The sequence below is a fragment of the Homo sapiens genome, chromosome 3 (assembly GCF_000001405.40).
Source record: "Homo sapiens chromosome 3, GRCh38.p14 Primary Assembly".
NCBI classification, from domain to species: Eukaryota; Metazoa; Chordata; class Mammalia; order Primates; family Hominidae; genus Homo; species Homo sapiens.
In genome coordinates, this window is record NC_000003.12 from 67501099 (window position 1) to 67521930 (window position 20832).

Sequence of the window (20832 nt, forward strand, 5' to 3'; positions counted from 1 at the left end):
ACAACGGTCCTGTGCCGACTGTTAATTTGTAGAGAAAACTAAACAACCTAATTGGATCATTGCATGTATGTCTAAGTGTTTTGGGAAGTTAAAAACACTACCTAAATATGAAGTAATTTATTTAGAGGACTTAGGACTTAAGAAAGGGGATTCAAATTGAACTGCCACCTTCAAGACCCCAGTCTTTACTTAGTGGGTAAGGGAAGAAAAACTTTAAGGATGTAAAGGGATTCTTTCAGACACATATTTGTTACGCCTGTTTTATATTTTAAAAGTAGTCTGTGATACTGTGATTTATAATAAATATATTATTTTGGTCTTCATCCCTAATTCCTAGCATAGAGCTCTAAAACCCTTGTGATTTCCTAAGCAATAGGGGTGCTAGGAGAATCTTGTGTTCTAACATTTGGCCTTTGACCCTGATTCCTGATGCAGAGCTCCTAATCCCTTGGGATTTTCTGGGAGATAGGAGAGTCTTTTGTTCTATTAAGGTAAGTCTTGGTGGAGGCTTCTGTATGGGGCTGGTCGCCAGAAAGACCAAACTATGATTAGAAGCTTGGAAATTTCAGCCCCACCTCCATGCTCCAGAAAGAATAACAGATCATCCCTATGTAATAAAGCCTCCATAAAAATTTCTCAACTCCAGGGGACTGGAGAGCTTACAGGTTGCCAAACACAGGGAGGTGCTACAGGGTGGCTCACCTGTGGAGTACAGGGAAGCTTGTCACCCCTTCATGCATACCCTGCCCCATATACCTCTTCATCTGGCTATTCCTTTGTATCATTTAAAATATCCTTTATAAAAAAATAAGATAAAAAATAAAATAACCTTTATAATAAATCAGCAGTAGTAAGTAAAGTGCTTCCCTGGGTTCTGAGAGCCATTCTAGTAAATGATGGGGCACAAGGAGGGAGTCCTAAGAACCCCCAATTTACAGCTGGTTCATCAGAAGTACCAGAGGCTTGGTCTTACAAATGACATCCAAAGTGGAGTCAGTCTGATAAGACTGACCCCTTAACCTATGGGATCTGACTCTAATTCCAGGTAGATGGTAAAAGAATTGAATTGAATCATAGGATACCTAGCTAGTGTCAGAGATTAGTCAGTGTTGGAAAAACTCACACATCTGGTCCAAGAAGTGTTCTTCTGTGTTGAGAGTTTGGTAGGAGAAAAATGTTTGTTTTTCCCTATTATACATAGTACCAAACAAACAAAGTGCTTTCCTATCTTACTATCTACAATGTTGTGCCATCTAAATGATTTTCCTTGAACCTGACCACTTAATATAGACTGGCATCAAAAATATCAGGGTATAAATGACAACTCCTGGCACTTCCTAGCCAGCTATCCTTAAGCACATTAACCTCTCTTAAACCCGAGCCTTGTCTATACAATGGGGATCAGAGTATGTTCTACTCTAGGTGTTGGTGGCAGGAGAGATTGTATGCAAAGCGCTTAGCTTCCTAGACAGTGGGTACTAGCAGGTTGTTAGACGACCACACCACCCTCTAATATGCACATGCTTTTTTATACTTAAGAGCTTCCCATTATTGTAGCCCAGGCTACAGAACTCTCCTCTCTTCCTAACAATAAAAATTATCTGTTCCTTTATAATCTGAGATTTCTGTTTAGAGCAAATCTAAGCAAATGTCTCCCATAGTTTACATATGTACAGGTTACCCATGGTTTTCAATAAAAAGCCATCTTCTGAATGAATAAGAATTTTCCCAAAGGAAGAATATTAATAGTTGGCATTTTAGGCATCATAAATAGTAGAAAACAAGATTTTTGGCTAAAAGATAAGGGTAAAATAGGCTGTTGGTGACTCTCAAATCACATCACACCTGTGCATAAGGCCAAGGCTAAAGATTGGTACAGAATAGCTCCAAATGAAGATCTAAGCAAAGGGTAGCAACTAAGACCCTCAAGCCAGCCCTATTTTTATGAATAACAGATTGGAACATAGCCTCGTTCATATTGCCTATGGCTGCCTTCCCAAGACAAAAGCAGAGGTGAGTAGTTGCAATACAGACTGTATGGCCCGCAAACCCCCAAATATTTACTAACTGGTCCTTGACAGAAAAAGTTTGCCAATCCCTGCTAAGTCACAGTTCTCACACTTGTATCCACTTGTGTGAACCAAGTGATAGATACACAGGTGTCATATTTTATAGTGAAGGAGAAACTTAGAAAAAGTGCATTCCATTAACATGAAAACCAAAAAAAAAGTAAAATAACAAAGAAAATAAATAAAAACCTGTGGCTACGCAAAAGGAGTAGATTAATCCTGGAATACTAACTGACTCTTACATGCTTATTTCCTCCTGTAAGACGCTTCTAAATGCACTTCTTGAATTGACGTGTTAAAAATGGATTGATGTCTATGTCAACAGCAGGGCGATAAAATAAACTTGCCTGCTTAAACCCTTAGCTTTCTCATTTAATAAAACAACAAACAATACAAAATGCATTTTCAGAGGTGCTGAGCTTGGTCCGGACCTTAAGATTGTCAACGTCACATTAATGAAACTCAATTCTAAAGAAAATTCATCTTGAACAAAGGCCATTTTTTATACAAAGTGGGTGAAAGAAACATACCTATTAATATTTATAAAACAATTTTCACCATCAAAAGCACATTGTTACATGCTTGATAGATTATACAAATGTATTTTCCTTCTGAACGAATATCAAAGAAAGCTGTGGTACTTATATGCATAGGGTGTTTTGTTGTTTTGTTTAGTGGCGTGAGATTCTGTGAGCTGCTAATTCAACAATCTCGATAGAAAACATGACTGGCAGTTAGAGGCCTCTGACCCTAGAATTTTAACAGAAGAATGTGTCACAGAATTAAACAAAAGAAGAATACATTTCAGAGGGGAAACTTACACATAAAAGGAACATAAAACAGCAGGAAATAAGACTATCATAATTAGTTTGAAAAATAATCTGTCTTCAAGCAACGTACTGCGTTTGATTTGTGATAAATAACCATAATGTACTATTGAAACACGCCTTGCCAAAATGGCCTTAAAATGCTGATACTTTCAAATTAGTCCCACTTCCCATTAAATATTGATGTTCTGAGAGTTGTATACTTTTTAGAACTTTTTTTTAGTGGCTGTGAAAAGAGAAAATAGGTATGGGGTGGGTAGGGGGGTTGGGGGAGGTAGAGAACCGAAAATGTTCTTGAAAATAGAGTCTTGTGTATAAAGACAGAAACAGAGAAACACCCACCAACAACATGGGCACTTGCTAACAAGAAGCAACGGGGTGGTTATTTAGGGAAATCAATCCGAAGAAAGAAAGGAATTTGATGTGCCAGTTAACTGTGGATCACCCAGCTTTAATTCTCACGGAATCTTAGCCAGATAGTCACTGCTTCAAATTGGATCTCATTCCTTTGGCCCAGTGAATGGATTTCAGCTTCCAACTGATGAAGATGCCCCAAAGCAAGAATTCTTAATCTCTAGACTATGGACAGATTGGGTGAGGTCGTTCTCTGTGAACAGGGACCATCCTGTGCGTTGTAGTTTAGCATTATCCACGCCAGTAGCATAGCCTCCAAGTTGTGATGACTAAAAATGTTCCCTGGGGGACAAAATGCCCACCCTTCCCATGGAGTACAACTTGCTTTAAAGACATCAGAAAAAGGAGTCTGTGTACAGATAGAGCTGGCTGAAGGTGAGAAGAAATATGACATGAAATTTCACAGTGGCTAGCAAAATGAATGAATGAATACATGAATGCGCAGGTAGATAAATAAATAAATAATGATAAAACATTGCTTCTTGCTTGGCTGCAGAATTAATGAATGAATTGGCACTGCATTTGGACAAACAAGGAAAATAACGATTAATTTCTATTGACTAAGTAACAGTTTATTTTTGTTTCAATAAGGTTGCATCTTTCTGGTAGGCATGTTTTGACTCAGTGTCCCTTCTTCCATTAAGAAACTGTATGTCTCCTATACCATATGATTCTTGCTCAGTGGCTGGCATGGGCATAGACATGTGACCCAAGCAGGGTCAATGAGAATCATTTGAAGGGATTTATGGGGCTGCTGAGGGAGAGTTATGGAGCACTGGGAGCCATCTTTGCTGCCAGCTTCTGAGAGCCTGGCTGAGAAAGAAGCCAATTTGGAGGCAAGCAGGGCTGGAGAACCAGCAAATCCCTGATTCTCTTCAGGCCTTAAGCCAGTCCACACCTTAGACTTCCCTGTTACAGGAATATAACTTTTTAACAAAAACAAAGCTAATATAACTTTCTGTCATTAGCAACCATTATAATCCTAGCTAAGAGTCACTAAACTACATTGCAGTTAGTAGTGTCAAATTATATTTTTTGAATCAGATTATTAATCACATAGGAAAAAAGAGCTCTTGGACTGCAGTTCTTTCTCCGTGTCAAAAATTCCCTATGGGTGACTTAGCAGCATAGATGTTATCAAGGCCCTTGTTCTTCACTCAACACGGCATCACTTGTTGTACAAATATATGAACAATAACCTGAATTATTAAAAATAGCACTCACTGACCAATGGAAGGTCAAAAAAAGTTTCCTACAAAGAGGTGGGTACAGGCCAGGCACAATGGATCACACCTGTAATCCCAGCACTTTGGGAGGCCGAGGTGGGTGGATCACCTGAGGTCAGGAGTTCGAGACCAGCCTGGCCAACGTGGTGAAACCCCGTCTCTACTAAAAATACAAAAATTAGCTGGGCGCGGTGGTGGGCGCCTGTAATCCCAGATACTCGGGAGGCTGACGTAGGAGAATCACTTGAACTCGGGAGGTGGAGGCTGCAGTGAGCTGAGGCTGTACCACTGCACTCCAGCCTTGGCGACAGAGTGAGACCCTGTCTCAAAAATAAAAAAGAAAAAGAAAAAGAAAAAGAAACAACAACAACAAAAAAGAGCTGGTACAATGTGATGCTGAGCTCCTTAAACTTTTAAATTTAAAGAATAATTATTAAATCAAAGTTTCAATGTGGAAATTTTACCGTGAAATGTTCTGCTACTACTGATCTAAACAGAACTAACAAATACTCAGATTATAAATATTAAGATTATCAATATTGCTAAAATATAAATGACTGCTTTTACAGCTTCTAAATAAAAGATAGCTTGAGGGGACTGTGATAATGATGAAGATCAATTTGTACATTTGGTCATTAATCACCATTTCCTAATTGGGTTTAATTTGACTACTGCTCATTAGAGTTATAAACCAACATACTCATTTAATTGTGATTATAATTCAATTGCTGAACTTTTATGGTACAATGAACAAATTAATAACTAAAGATAATTTTGCTCTTAAAAATATCACATAAGACTTATGTTTTAATGAACTGTATATAATGTTTTATGATGATTCCCTTAAAAAAAAATCTCAAGACTCTTCCATTCTCTTAATAATTAAAAATCAAACTTCAGACTCATGACGTTTTATAAACACAGTCTAAGAAAAGGTTCCCATACCCCTGTTCCCTGAAGCGAGAACACAGCTCGTGACTGCTTCCCAAAGGGTTGAATAAAAAATGTATTGCAGCCATTTTTATCCCACTCCATAGCTACAGCTACATTTCCATTTTTCTTCATGCAAAGCAACCAGGCTGCTTGTGTATACTAGTTGAAAAAGCAATATATGACCTTTAAGAACTTTTGTTAAACCTTCTCCTTCATTTCTTGGATTTAATTGTCAACATGAATTCTGACTGGTATTCCCTGCCAAACTGGAGACTACTTCTAGGTCATGTACGTGAAAGCAAATAAGTAGTTTAAATGGGAGAAAGTAGAAAAGGCAGGTAGCTGCAGTTGAGTCTGGAGTATCAGAATCAATATGCACGCTGGACTCAGAGGGACATGGGTTCAAATCCCAGCTTTTGTAACTTCTGACTAGCCCCTGGGACAGTCACAATGGTTTCTCAATCCTCTATAAAATGGGGATAACAACTCCTAATTTTTCAGGGTTGTGGTAAACAATATGAAAGAATATAGGTATAAGCTTATCACAGTGTCTGGCATATAAGCTCAAGAAACAGCTTCTTCCCCTTCCTTTCTTAGCTTTATAAAATACACACAATTTGATAGCCATAGCAACTTTAAAAAAAATATTTATGAATAAAGGTAGCTTGTTTATAAATGAGCAAGCACAGATTTCTATCGGATGGTCATCTGTATAAATCATGAAATATATTATCTTCAATGGCTTCCTAAACATAAAATCTTTGCTTGTTCTCGTCTGAAATCTATACTATTCCTGGGCTACTCTGAGACTACCTGAGAAGAGGAATTTCATTTTATGAATGTTAGGGACTAGCCTATTTTGTATCTGACACTGCATGCATACTCATATATGATTTCATCTTATTTTCACAACACTCTATGAGCTAGACATCATTTCTACCACTTATTTGATTGAAAAGATTGAAAAAAAAAAAAAAGACCTGAAACTTAGGCAGGCTAAATAACTTGCCCAGATCCGTAGCCAAAACATGGCAGATACAGAATTTATACTTAGGCCTCTCTGGGTTCGAAGGAAATGATAGTGTAGTTTCTCTGAGTCTAGCTACAGAATCTCTGAAATGTGCTAAGGAGAAAATATTGTCTCATCCGTCTTGGTCCAAAAGTTGATGTGTTTACACATAATGATTCACCCCAGTTAACAATTCAATGCAAATTACTATTTACTGACTGTAACAAGCTAGACAACATGCAAGACACCGGAGGTGAAATGTACTAAAAAAGAAAAGGTTCATGGTGCTTACAGTCTGGTATCCCTATCCTATCCACCTGCCATTCCACTGTTTTGACAGCAAAAGCTTGTGAATTTGTGTGTAGAACTCCACTTTACCCCTTACCACACACACATTTACAAGCTTTTGCTATCAAATTAATAAGAACTTATGGAATATTTGCTGTATGCAAGAAACAGTGCAGTGGTGGTAGGTACTGATATATAAAAGTTATTTATACTCTACAACTACCTGATGGATAGGAGAAACCTTCACCACAAAAATGCCACCTCCTCCTGCCTGAAGCAGAAACTGCTCTCCAAGTAAGGTGAAAGAGTTCAACTGGGGGGGACTTGGGGCTTTACCAAGGTGATATAAATCCAGCCCAGAACACAAGGTGAAATTATATACAGATTTAGGCAAACTAAAGACGTTCGAAAAGTTCCAGTTCCATAAAGGCATATGCCTTCATTACACCCAAGTGTGTGGCTCCCATTTCTACACAAATCTTTACCTTAGTAGCAGCAGTGATGGGCCTAAAAAAATAAGGTGGAGAGAAAGAGGTGAACGAATGTTTCTTTCCTTTTATTATTTATTATTATTATTATTATTTTTGTAGAGACAGGGTCTCAATATGTTACCCAGGCTAGTCTCAAAGTCTTGGCCTCAAGTGATCCTCCCGCCTTGTCCTCCCAAAGTGCTGGGATTACAGGCATGAGCCACCACACCAAGCCTGAATGTTTTTAAGTAAAACAAGCAGTAGCTTCCTTAGAGGCTTGGCATTTGGCTACAAACAAACCTAAGTGCTGAAATGTTCAACTGCATCATGGGAGCATTTCAAACTATGGCAGAAATTAAATTACTGAAAGAAATTTATGCAAAGCTGCTGCTACAGTCTTTTGTGCAATTTATAGTTTGCATAAATAATTATAATACATTCATTTGTTTTCTCAATTCTTTTTTTTTTTTACCTTGTCCTTCTGGAGTTTCACCAAAGGGATTCACTTCCACCTGAGTAGCATCAATTTTCAGGAAGAGATTATACAGCTTCGTAATTTGATCTGCAGCCTAAATGTGATCAAGTGAAATAGAATTACACCAAAGCAGTAAAAGAAAATTTATTTTGCTGGATTAATGAAACCTTAAAAATAGCAAGTTATGTCTTTATTTTCAGTTAGGTTTTCTGAAGGGAAAAACAGAAAAGCATAATTATTTTAATTTCCACTGCTATTCATTAAAAGGAATTGCTCAGCTCTCCTCTAGACACCAGAAGAGACCATTATCAAGAAAAGAAAATATTTTCAGTACGGCCTAAAACGTTGTTAATCTTTTTGTAAATTATCATGTCTCTATTAGCAGAGTTATGCTGCAATATAAATTACAATCATTAATACAAACAAGCTCCATTTAAGTAAAAGGTAAACATGATTTTGAGAGTTTATAATGACTAGGTTTTCCTTATTGTGCTGAAATAAAACAGTTATTATATTCATCAATCCAACCCATAATCTGTGAAACAACAATTACTGAGTGTCTAATGAAAATTGTTGCAAAACAGGAAGATGAAAGTGCTTAATAGTGTAGTTACTGAACAGCACAAGTTCAAACTGAAAATAGCTTGTCCCAAAGGCATTAACCACAAAGGGCAAGAATATCCAAGGTTGCCCTGTTATGCCCTGACTTCATTTTTCTCACCTCTGCTTGAAATTCACTCATTCATTCATTCATTCTTTTCAACCAACATTTCTCCACTGCCTATGACACAGCAAGCTGGTATCTTGTGAGCTGGCGCTTGAAATAAGAGCATGAATGAGCCATGCCCCTACCCTGGAAAGCTCCTGGCAATAACAAAAGGAGCATGTGATGCACAGAGCAAGAGGGTGGATCGTGGAGAAGAATTAGGTATCAGTCTCATTCCCAGCTCCATTTTCCAAGCCAAAGTTTTCCCACTGCCACATTTCACTCATTGTGCCAGCCTCGGATTACTTGCAGCAGATCCGTTTTCAGTTCTCCAACTCTACTCTGTATATCAGAGAAGGTGACTCTTACAGGCTGAGTTTTCTAGGTTCCTGGGTCAGCTGGTTTCCAGCTGGGGTCAGCCAATGGCAAGCAGTGGTGAGAGATGGAGGTGGGAAGAAGGGAAGAGCCAGGGTACTTCCACTCCTCTCTTTCTATCTGGGCAGCACCTCCTCCTCTGGCTGTTGCTCCCACTGGAGAAGCCCACCAGGGCTCTAGCTTCTGTATACAAGGTCCAGTAACACCACTGCCTCATTTTTGTTCCTGGAGCATGTGGTTGGATATGCTTTAGGTTGCCTTTCTGTCAACTCTTAAAGTACTCAGCTCTTGCAGCGCCTATGAAACACATCCCTAAAGTAAATCCCCACTGGTGTAAATATTGCAAGTGGTTCCAGATTTGACTGAAGAACTCCAGATTTAATTCATGCTATCTTAATGTATTTTATAAACACCTACAAACATTTTTAAATCCAAATTTGAGGGCTAGTAGATATAAACGAACCCACATAATGAGTATGATTAAATATTTTTAATATTAAATATTTGCATAGGTAGATAATACATGTATATGATACAAAATTCCCGAAGAACTTAAGGGTTTTCCCTGATTGTACCACTCAACCACACAGGCCCCCAGTGGCAGCCAACTCATAAATTTAGCCTTCATATGAGAGACAGTCTATGCCTAACACAGTACGCATTCCTCCTTCATCTGTCTTAAAAAAGCAAACTTGTTCCAATACCTCTTTACTTAACAGAATTTTAGAGACACTTCATCAGCAACACAGGTAGATCAATCATATCTTTTTAATTGACTAAATAATATCTTACTGTATTGATATGCTATAATTCCTTTAACCTTTCACTTAAATAATGACCAACTGCATTGTTTCTAATAGGTTGACATTACAGCACTGCCTTATTTATCTCTGTATATTTAACATACATGTGATTAAACATTTGTAGGATAAATTACCCAGAGTGAAGCAAAAAGGAATGTAGCCATTTTAAACATCAAAAGGTTCTGTTAAATTGTTCTTTTTTTTTTTTTTTTTTTTGAGACCGAGACTTGCAGTGTTGCCAGCCTGGAGTGCAATGGCGCGATCTCAGCTCACTGCAACCTCCACCTGCCGGGTTCAAGCAATTCCCCTGCCTCAGCCTCCCGAGTAGCTAGGACTACAGGTGTGCCACCAAGCCTGGCTAATTTTTTATATTTTAGTAGAGACGGGTTTTCACCACGTTGGCCAGGATGGTCTCAATCTCCTGACCTCGTAATCTGCCCACCTCAGCCTCCCAAAGGTGCTGGGATTACAGGCATGAGCCACTGCGCCCGGCCTAAATTGTTCTTCATAGAAGCTGTCCCTGATTTCCACTCCTAAAAAGTGAAAATTATCAGAGACACTATTTTCCAATTCACAATCATTAGCCATTTGTATCTTTGTCAGTGTGTTAGGTGAAAAAGGGTATCTCACTGGTATGGTTGGGCTCTGTGTCCCCATCCAAATCTCACCTTGAATTGTAATAATTCCCACGTGTTGCAGGAGGGACCCAGTGGGAGGTAACTGAATCATGGGGACGGGATTTTCCCATGCTGTTCTCATGATAGTGAGTAAGTCTCACGAGATCTGGTGGTTTTATAAAGGGGGGGTTCCTCTGCACAAGCTCTCTTGCCTGCCACCATGTAAGAAGTCCCTTCACTCTTCCTTCGTCTTCCACCATGATTGTGAGGCTTCCCCAGCCATGTGGAATTGTAAGTAAATTAAACCTCTTTCCTTCATAAATTATCCAGTCACGGGTATGTCTTTATTATCAGCGTGAGAACAGACGAGTACACTCACATATAGTTTTAATTTGAATTTATTTTATTATGAATGAGTTTAGGCATTATTCTATGAGTTTAAGAGACATCTTATTTTTTTTGTGTGAATTTTGCCTATTTTTCTATTGAGATTTTGGTCCCTTATTAATTTATAGGAAGAGTGTGAGTGTGCGTGTGTGGGGGGGTGTGTGTGTGTGTACAAGAGAGTGTTGCTTTGTCACCTAGACTGGAGCGTACTGGCATAATCATGGCTCACTGCAGCCTTGAACTCCTGGGCTCAGATGATCCTCCCACCTCAGCCTTTCAAATAGCTGGACTACAGGCACATGCCACTAGGCTGAGCTAATTTTTTATTTTAATTTTTTCTAGAGATGGGGGTCTCGCTATGTTACCCAGGCTGCTCTTGAATTCCTGGTCTCAAGCAATCCTCTTGTCTCAGCCCCTTTAACATTTACCTTTTGAACATGCTTTTGTTACTTTTGCCACATGGAAATTTCACAATAATGTCACTCTTATATGGCTTCTGGCTTTGTGTCAGACTTTTAAAAGGCTAGTCCCATTCTGAGAGTATTTTTAAAAATTCTCCCATTATTTTTTCTAGTATTCTTTATAATTTCTTCCATTTTTTTAATCCAAATAAAATTTGAGTTAAAGTGCGAAGCCAGCAAATACTTCATTGCGGAATATTTTTTGTATTTTAGGGGGTTTTCTAGGTCATCAATGTGACCTTGCAATGTGAGTTGCATGGGGCAGGCATCTTATGTATCCTGGGCACCTTGGCATCCACTGTAGTGATACAACCTCTGCAGAGTCAACACTCGATAAATATCGGTTGAATTAAAGATTAATTCAGTTCTAAGTGGGGACTACATAATAGAAATAACTTCTGGGTACACATATATATATATATGTATAATCTAATCCAGCTACTTCAAAACTTCCTTTTTAAAAAATTGTGATAAAATATACAAAACATAAAATTCACCATATCTCAACCATTTTTGTCTACACAGTTCTGCAGGGTCAAGTTGGTACATTCACATTGCTGTGCAACCAATTCCTAGAACTTCTTCATCTTCCCTCACACTCTGTATCGCTAAACAAACTCCCGTTCTTCTCTTCCCACTGCCTCTGGCAACATCATTCTACTTTGTGTCTATAAATTTGACTATTCTAGATAGCATCTCTCTCTCTGCCTCTCTCTCCATCTCCATATATATATATATTTTCACACACACACACCCCCCTCTATATATACGCACATATATATCTCTCCATATATATCTCCATATATATGTATATAGATAATACGTATAGATATATATAGATACCAGATATATAGAGATATTAGAGATCTCTATATACATACATACATAAAATAAAAGATATGCATATATATACATACACTAGATACCTGTGGAATCATCCAGTGTTTGTCTTTTTGTAACTGGCTTATTTCACTTAGCATAATGTCCTCAAGCCCCATCCATACTGCAGCATGTGTCAGAATCTTCTTTTACAAGGTTCAGTAAAGTTCCATTATAGTATATACCACATTTTGTTTATCCATTCATCCACAGATACACACTTAAATTGTTTCAGAACTTCTTAAGCCTACACCAATTTTGCTTAGTACAAGGCTGCATTTTCTGCACATTAATCCCATTGTAATTATACATTAGCACAGCATTTTGGGGATATTTTCTGTTTTAATTTTTACTGTTGCACAAAGGCAGACCATAATTTTTTTGAGCAAGACTAAAACATAATCTGATCTTGGAGACATCTCCAAACCAAGCTGGTTCTCCCTTGTAGATCTCACAATGACAAACCCTTGTAAGATGTCTTATTCCAGAGGCTATTCACTAAATGGTTATAAGGGCTAAGCAGACAGAATGTGTGTGACCAGGTGTAACAGGGAATGGCATGGCATGTGGCAAGTTGAGATTAGTATTCCCACTTTCTACAAAAGTTAAAAATAAGCACAGGTCAAAGAAAACATTCTCCTGGTCAACTTGCAGTCAGTCGCTTACTACTGCCATCTATTTCTCAGCTCATAACCACTGCGTACAAAAAGTTTTTCTGCACTTTTGCCATCAATTGTTATTTTGTCTGTTAAGTAATTTTTAAAAATTAAAATTCGTAAAATCAAATATACGTACATGAAAATCTGACAAGTTTATAAAAATCTTTAAAAATGTCTCAAAAGGAGCATAAGGAGGAATGGCCTCAGAATCGTGCAGGCACAGTTGTGCGCTGCATCGCCAAGATGCCATTCCCAAAGTATACTCCATCGCGCCTGGCCACTCCACCCTCGACCCTCTACCCAGCGGAATACGACATATCCCTGGAAACCCAGCAGGCGCAAGCCGAGCGGTTGGCCATAAGAGCACAGCTGAAACAGCAGTACTTGCTTCAGTACAACGACCCTAACTGCTGACGGCTCATTGAAGATCCTGCCTTGATTTGTTGGACCTATGCAAGATCAGCAAATGTCTATCCTAATTTCACCCCTAAAAACTCACTCTTGGGAGCTTTGTGTGGAATTAGGCACCTGTTCTTCTGGTATGATGTATTCAAAACTGACAGGAATAGGAAAGAAAAACTTATCCAGGAAGGAAAATTGGATCAAACATTTAACATCTCATATTAAGTCTGGCAATGATGACTATGTGTATTCTTGCTGAAATAAATCGTCTATTAATCAAACAAAAATCTCAACAGGTTAAGAATTTTAAATATTTTTCTTGCATTCCAGAAATTATCATCAATATTCACGTACGCCTCTCAAATCTAGCCAGAAGTACAAACCACTTCAAGAGGTGTTAGTGATCTTGCACTGACTTGGACCATCCGATCTTTTCATCAGCCTAAACCTTAGAGGCACATGTTGACAATTCGTGGCACTCATGTTTTCAGAAATGAACAGTATAGATGATAATTAAGACACACTTGACAAACTTGTAAGTTTCAGTCATACAATAGTCACCCTTTATCCTCAGTTTCCCTTTCTGTGGTTTTAGTTACCCATGGTCTACTGAGGTCCAAGTTATTAAATGGAAAGGACAAAATTATGGAATAAGATCCTTGGATGGAACACAGCACTAAAGTCACTGACGGATTACAACCTCTACAGCCACACTTAGATGACCTAAAAAGAAAGAGACAAACTTCTAATTATGATGTTCTTCTAAAAGGTTGTGGTGAAAAACCTTCAGCTATCCAGGATCCCTGACCATTGACATCATCTGTTCCTGACATCCAGCCATTGACACCCATGGTTTGATGATCCAGGATCATCCAAAGTAGATGTCCCTCACGAAGTATTGCCAGGAGGTCATGAGAAGCCCAATGCTACATCGCAATGCTCACATCACTCACCCCACGTCTTACCATGTAGACATTGCATCATCTCACATCATCGCAAGAAGGGTGAGTACAGTACAATGAGGTATTTTGAGAAAGAGACCATATTCACATCACTTTTATTACAGTATATTGCTATTGTTCTATTTCATACTGTTGTTAATATCTTACTGTACCTAATTTATAAGTCAAAATTTATCCTAAGTATAAATATCTAGAATATCCAGAAAAAAAGAGTATATATAGGGTTTGGTAGTAGGTAAGCTTCAGGCATCCACTGGAAGTCTTGGGACGTATCCTCCACAGATAAGGGGGAACTACTATATTAAGCTTTCCTATGTCTTAACGTTTTTCAACAAATTCTCACAGAAAGAGACTTTGGTTGGGAACAAACACTGGTAATTTTTATGTAAAGCAAAGTATCATCTTTATTTTTGTTATGTCTAATATTCATCACATTTTAGAGACAACAGGCATGAGTCACAGGAAAGATATTAATAATTTTATAAGACTATCATTTTATATGATATTCAACCATGAGTGAGGTACCTCCAAATGCCTAAACCACATCCTAGATGAAAATTAAGTAACTTAACTTTCAAAGTCACGTTGAACCTAAGGTACCTCTAAGATACTATTTCCTTAGGAAAAGATCATTGATGATTGTTTAAATGTTTTCCCTTCTACACTGTCCCATCTGCTCATTGTACACTGGCCCTCTAGAGCATTTCACTAATCCCCACAGCTTGAGCAAGCCCCATAAAGCAGAGATTCCCAAGCCTACAACTCTAATGCACAGCTTTCCCTGGGATCCCAAGCCATATATCCCTTCTACTGTAGAAATACACTCAGGTGTCCCTAGATGAACAACTTCCAACATGTCTACAGCTGAGATCAACCTCTCTCTCCCTCTGCCCGCTGCCCCCTCCCCCACTCTCTCCTTCACATTCCTTTATCCGTCCCTCTTCCTGTATCCTCTCAGCCAGCAGGCAGATATCTACCGGTCTGTGAGCCCCTGAGGAACAATGGTTATTTTTCATTGTCTCTTTTCCCCAAGGCACAGCAGACTGAGCAGCACCCTATCAGTGCTCATTCCAAGCTGCTGAGAAAATGAAGATTTAAAGCCTTTCATGGAGTTAGCAGTGAAAAAAGAAAAAAACAAATTAAAACATTTTATTTCCTTTCCTCGATAAATTAATTCAAAGGTATACTGACAATATGGCCACTTACTTATCCCTCAGTTCTCACATATTCGTCTTCCTTCCATAGGTAACTCATTTAAAACCTAGAGTGTTTCAGGTACCAGGAAAACAAGAATAAGCCATTTAAGAGCTGTAAATAACTCTTAATTTTCTCGTATAATATGTAGTGAGGGGGCAGTATCTTGTGATGTACATTATACTGTTATTAACTTCTCTAGAACTCTCTATTATGTTCACCTCCTGAGCTTTTAAATATGTGGTCAGCAGATTTTGCCCACTCCAGATTTATTTATCTGCCATGAAAAGCCACCTATTGCTGAGCCTCTAGGAACTTCTTCAAAGTGGACACCTAGAAGTGTTGTTTCACCTAGTCATGCACATGACAAATGTTTCTTGGGCAATAAAAATAGATGCCAAGCACTTTGCCAGCTGCTGGCAACACAGCAGTGAGTAGGATGGACAAAGTCCCTGCCGTGGTAAAGATTAGGATCTAGCAAAGGTGACTGCAAATAAATAAGAGAAATATACAGATGTCCAAAGTGATATGGAGGAGGCAGACAGGGTCACTGTGCAACTCTGGAGCTGACTGCCAGACAGTGCAGCTAGACCACAGTGGCTGTATGGAAAACGGGCTCTTGGTGACCACCACTGCTACAGGAGAAGCCCCTTAATAAACATCAAATGAATGGCTAATGTAGCTGGTATCCTCATTCTCAGGAGGTGAAACCAACCACTGTAGCACATATTCAGGAATCTTCCAGGATCTTCCTTTCAACAGATCACTTTCCTGGCATCTCTTTGCTAGTCTCAGAAATGGCAATTAGTTCCTCTAACTGTCCATCGAATCCTGGCCCTTTCTCTCTCATCCTGAGGTTTAGTTCCAGATGACCCTGTTCCATTCTACCATCTTCAATCTTTTGCTTTCAAAGTGAGCCTTTATTCATTTTCAAGTAAGTGGTTTCCCTTCATTTAAGCATATATATTTTTTAAAACCTTATTCTGTTTTATCCCTCTTTGACTTGCCTACTGTTGCCATTAAACTTCCAGAGAGAGTCAATCAAAAGAAAAAGACAAGACAGAAAGAAAAGAGTGCATCATGTACTGTCTTATGGGAATAGTGCTGCCCAACCAAATTAAAGGACATACTCTGTAACCTTTTCATAAAGCCCCAGGCCAGAGAACATACACACATGCACACATACACACAATCTAGGGCCATTAAGGTGGCCTCTCTGAGTAACAGAGGAAGGAACAAGTAAGTTTATCTGATTTAGCTGTGGGACTAGGAAGCTTGCCCCACTAGACACATAATCAGGTGCCATGGGCTGGAACAAAGGCAGAGCAGGGGACGATACTAAGACAGATTCTGTCCCTCAACAGCTCTGAGGCCAATGTTTTGGTCTTTGAAGCCAAGGGATATTATTACAAAATTGGCATATTTTAAGCTGTTCTCAATAAAATATCAAGTTTATGCCATCAATATTCATTTCAAATGCCCATTAGCTATGAAAGAATAGCAATTAGCTAAATAACATGTATTATTAATATTAATACCATTAAGAACAGACCTTTATGGAGCAGTACAATAAGGACTTTTACACATTATTCTACTGAATCCCCACAATAAGCCTCTCGGGAGTTGTCATCATTCCCATTTTATAGATGATGAAACTAAAGTTCGAATGAGCTGTATCACATGCCTGCCAGGTGGCTAAGTACCAGCAATGCTACAGAAAAAATAGAGATTACCATCTATCATGAAGTGTATGTGTCCACATGCAATACACATGCACACACATACCAAAACACATTCAAAGACACATCATAAACATCCTCTTTTAAAACATCAGGGAAATATTTTTCTTCATCATAAACAGCTGGAGGAAAAAATTATAAAACAATAAATAATCCTGTTTCCTGGTAATCACAAACACTAGAGGCAATGAAGCAAGTTCCCAAATGTTTTCTGAAACAAGTCAGACACACCATCCCCCAATGGCTTATATACCTGGCTTTTCAAAGGCCCAACGAAGCCTAGATTTTCGGCCATCCGCTGAGCTTGGCTGTCCTTTATTCCTTCAAAAATGTCAATTTGCTCCTAGTAAAAATAAATCAAATAAACAAAATTCAGACAGTCAACTGAGAAGATTTACAACCTCAAAAGAAAATGCTTAGTATTTATTTGCAAATGAGTAATTAAAGTGTGGCATCTATCCAGAGATCTCTGAGCAGGGCTACCGCAGATGCCTGTAGGGTATGTTTTAATTAGCAGACCATCTATAAAAAAGCCCTTCCAAAAACTATATAATTCTTCATGGTGGCATGCTGACAAGAAAATCTGATGCCAGTTTTCACTTTTAATTACTATACAGATGGCATTGATGAATATTTAGTCAGTTAATTTTTTGACATCTTTTGGAAGGTTTCCAAAGTAAGGTTTTCCTGCCTACTAGTAGTTAAGTTTAAAGCCTGTCATAGATAGGTTAAATATTACCTTATGATTTAAACACTCTATTGATGATAATTATTACTGTTACCTTAGCTCTACAAAATGATATTGTCTCAAAGACACCGAGCACTGTCACTATACATTATTTCATGCATTCTCTTAACAAATGGAATGGCCTGCTTTAAATAATGTGAACTTTGAAAACAGCTAGGTGTTGTTGGTAAGTCTGCATATAAAGTCTCAATTCAGTTTCCAAGGTAATTAACTTATTATATAATATTAGTGAAAATATTTTAAAACCAATCACTGCAGTATGAGTACAGCAGGTCTTCAAATAACGTTACTTCATTCAAGGTCGTTTTGTTATAAGGTTGAGAAAAAAAAAAATCAATTCCCAGCCAAGGCCACTGTCTCTGTGTAGTCTACACATTCCCCTCTTGTCTGAGTAGGTTTTCTCTGGGTCCCCCGGTTTTCTCCCACATCCCAAATCTGTACATGTTAGGTCAACTGGCATGTATACACAGTCCCAGTCTGAGTGGGTGTGGTGTGTAAGTGTGCTCTGCAATGGGATGGTGTCCCATCCAGGGTGGGCTCTTACCTTGCACCCTGTGCTCCAGCCATCAGAGACCCTAAGCTGGAAAAACTGGATAAACAATTATCTTACTTGTTTTTATGAAATCTTTCTGAAACGTACATATAGCTCCTATTTATTTTAATGTGTAACATTAGAAGTGTGCTGGTCTTTATTTAGGAGTTGAGTGATGTTCTGTGAGCAGAAATATGCTATAGGAACTTAACTCTTGTTTATATCAATTAGCCTATGTATGGTAACATTGGTTTCCTTATACATCGTTTCCATTCAAGTCGCAGTTTCCAAGAACCTGTTGAGGATGCTAAGTGGGTGTTTATTGTACATTATTTAGACAAAGAGATTTAAGAAATAAAATCTCCCCTTCTCAAAGGGAAACAAAAAAATCATTTTCTAAAAGAAATAATGAATGTTTCTGGTGGAAAATTGTAATGTAATTTTGACCCCAAGAACCCAGATTAAAAACTTCAATTTTAGTTCTGAAAACTTATGTTTTTCTCCTCATAGCTGACGTAGGTTAAGAAGCACTTTATACACATCACCTCATTTAATCCTTATAATCTCACATGGTAGAAATCACCCCATGTTCATTTTACTGATTTAAAAATGAGGTTTGGAGACTTTGAGAAACTTGTGCTCTGATTAAATTTGACCTCAGATCTCTGACTTGAAACTAATCTTAATATCAATAAATGAGTCAAGATTTCAAGGATTGAAAAAAACTGATAGAATCTAGACTTCATAAAGATTCTAGTTTACATCAAGAGTACTGAGAGAACTCAAGACAGTTTCTAGTTCACATCTGCTAAAAGAGAATTCATTCATCTCCTAGGAGAGAATTTCCGGATCATATATAATATTAAATGAAAGAGAGTTAACCATAAGAAATGAAAATATAGCAGTCCTCTCCCATTGGTTAATTCTTGAGGAAGATTGGATGGAAAGGAATCAGGGAGGAAGAAAAGGCAGGAAGAAGTAAAGAAGGAAGGGTGGGAAAAGCAAAGATAAAAAGTCCTTGAACACTGAATACCTTGATTCCACCCAACTTTCAACTGGATACCCAGAAAGAAAAAGGGCTCAGCATCTTCTTACCTTAAATTGTAGAGACAGATTTAGTGCTCCTGGCCTTAGACTCCCCATTAAATATTTAACAGCTTCTACAATAACAATCAATTAATAGCAGGTAGCCCGGAATTTAAACATACCTTAAAAATGAGCTCCGGGTTTGAAGCAGCCACCTCTTCAATGTCGACGCCCCCCTGGGGGCTGCCCACCAGCACGGGGCCATTGCAGGACCGGTCCATCAGAATTGCCAGGTAGGTTTCTCTGGAAATATCCAAGGCTTCAGCAACCATCACCTACCACATTAGTGGGAAAGTCAAATTAATTCAGCATTAAGCTGATTTCTACTTGGAAATCTATACAAACTTGCTACACGAATCAAATGGCTTCATTTTCAGGCTCTTACAGCCCAGGGAGTGAGTTTGCAGAGCTTTGAGAGTTCTGCTCTCATGGTGCACACAATGCCCATTTTCACCTCCTTAATTTTGATCCCATTAACTTGTTCGAGTGACAGGTATTTCGTTTGCCTCAAGGAACCTTCCCACTTTAATCTTCTTTTTTGTCCTTCCTCAAGAAACTGTGTCACTTAAGAAATACCCTAGAGAAGTGGCTGTTATTTTAATTTGAGATATTAACAGTACACATATATATTACTACACTGACTTTTCTCAGATTTCACTGGTGGAAAACCAAGCATGATTGCCACAGACGGATTCTTTTACAGTATGTCTGATGCTTCATATGTTTGTGTATTTCTGTCTCTTCGATCACTATATTTTACTTCATTTTATACTTCCTTTTAATTTATAAAAAGAATATTTGCTTGTTCAAAAATAATGCAAACGATACCAAAAATATATAAATGAGAAAGTGAAAGCAGCTTCCTGCTGCACAGCTCTACCTCAAATAAACCCTCGGGCCCCAGGAGTCAGGGCAGATACGAGCCTACCAGGAACCTCCGTGATAACTAGAAAAAGGCACCCCTTCCTCTGGGAATATGTGGTCATTTGCCAGGGCCATGACTAGACAGGGGACAAGTGGGATGGAAGAATGTCATTCAATTCCACAAGTGAGTGGGGACTCACTGCCTCAGCCAGGTGTCCTTTTGCTCTGTAGGACTTGAATTTCATGTAACAGCCCCACCAGGAAAAACCACTGCTGACATTCTAGTCCTTTTCTATGTATCTGCAAGCATTGCAGTAATGGAATAATCCTACATGTGGAAGCACATTATATACAACAGGATGCCTTTCTTTTTTTTAATCTTTTTTTTTTTTAAAAAAAGACAGAGTCTCACTCTGTCACTGAGGCTGTAGTGCAGTGGCACGATCTCAGCTCCCTACAACCTCTGCCTCCCTGCAACCTCTGCCTCCCATGTTCAAGCAATTCTCATGCTTCAGCCTCCCGAGTAGCTGGGCTTACAGGTGCCTGCCACCATGCTTGGCTAATTTTTGTATTTTTAGTAGAGATGGGGATTCACCATGTTGGCCAGGCTGGTCTTGAACTGCTGACTTCAAGTATCTACCTGCCTCAGCCTACCAAACTGCTGGGATTACAGAGGTAAGCCACCACGCCTGGCCTCTTTTTTAAAA

At 38.6% G+C, this 20832-nt stretch overlaps 1 protein-coding gene and 1 pseudogene across 6 annotated transcripts in view; one reads left to right on the top strand and one right to left on the bottom strand.

Annotated features, from left to right (window-relative positions):
- The window catches only part of SUCLG2 (succinate-CoA ligase GDP-forming subunit beta), a 294153-nt gene that overhangs the window by 140639 nt on the left and 132682 nt on the right, over positions 1 to 20832 (bottom strand). For all 6 annotated transcript variants that reach the window (XR_007095763.1, XR_001740350.3, NM_001177599.2 and 3 more), the window contains exons 5-7: positions 19384 to 19536; positions 17149 to 17238; positions 7709 to 7805 (exon numbers count right to left, since the gene is read on the bottom strand). Coding sequence is in view for 4 of the 6 variants with exons in the window: in NM_001177599.2 (NP_001171070.1) it covers positions 7709 to 7805; positions 17149 to 17238; positions 19384 to 19536 (340 nt within the window). In the remaining 2 variants the exon portion in view is untranslated. The remainder of the gene's footprint in view (positions 1 to 7708; positions 7806 to 17148; positions 17239 to 19383; positions 19537 to 20832) is intronic.
- Positions 12819 to 13279, top strand: NDUFB4P1 (NADH:ubiquinone oxidoreductase subunit B4 pseudogene 1; annotated as a pseudogene).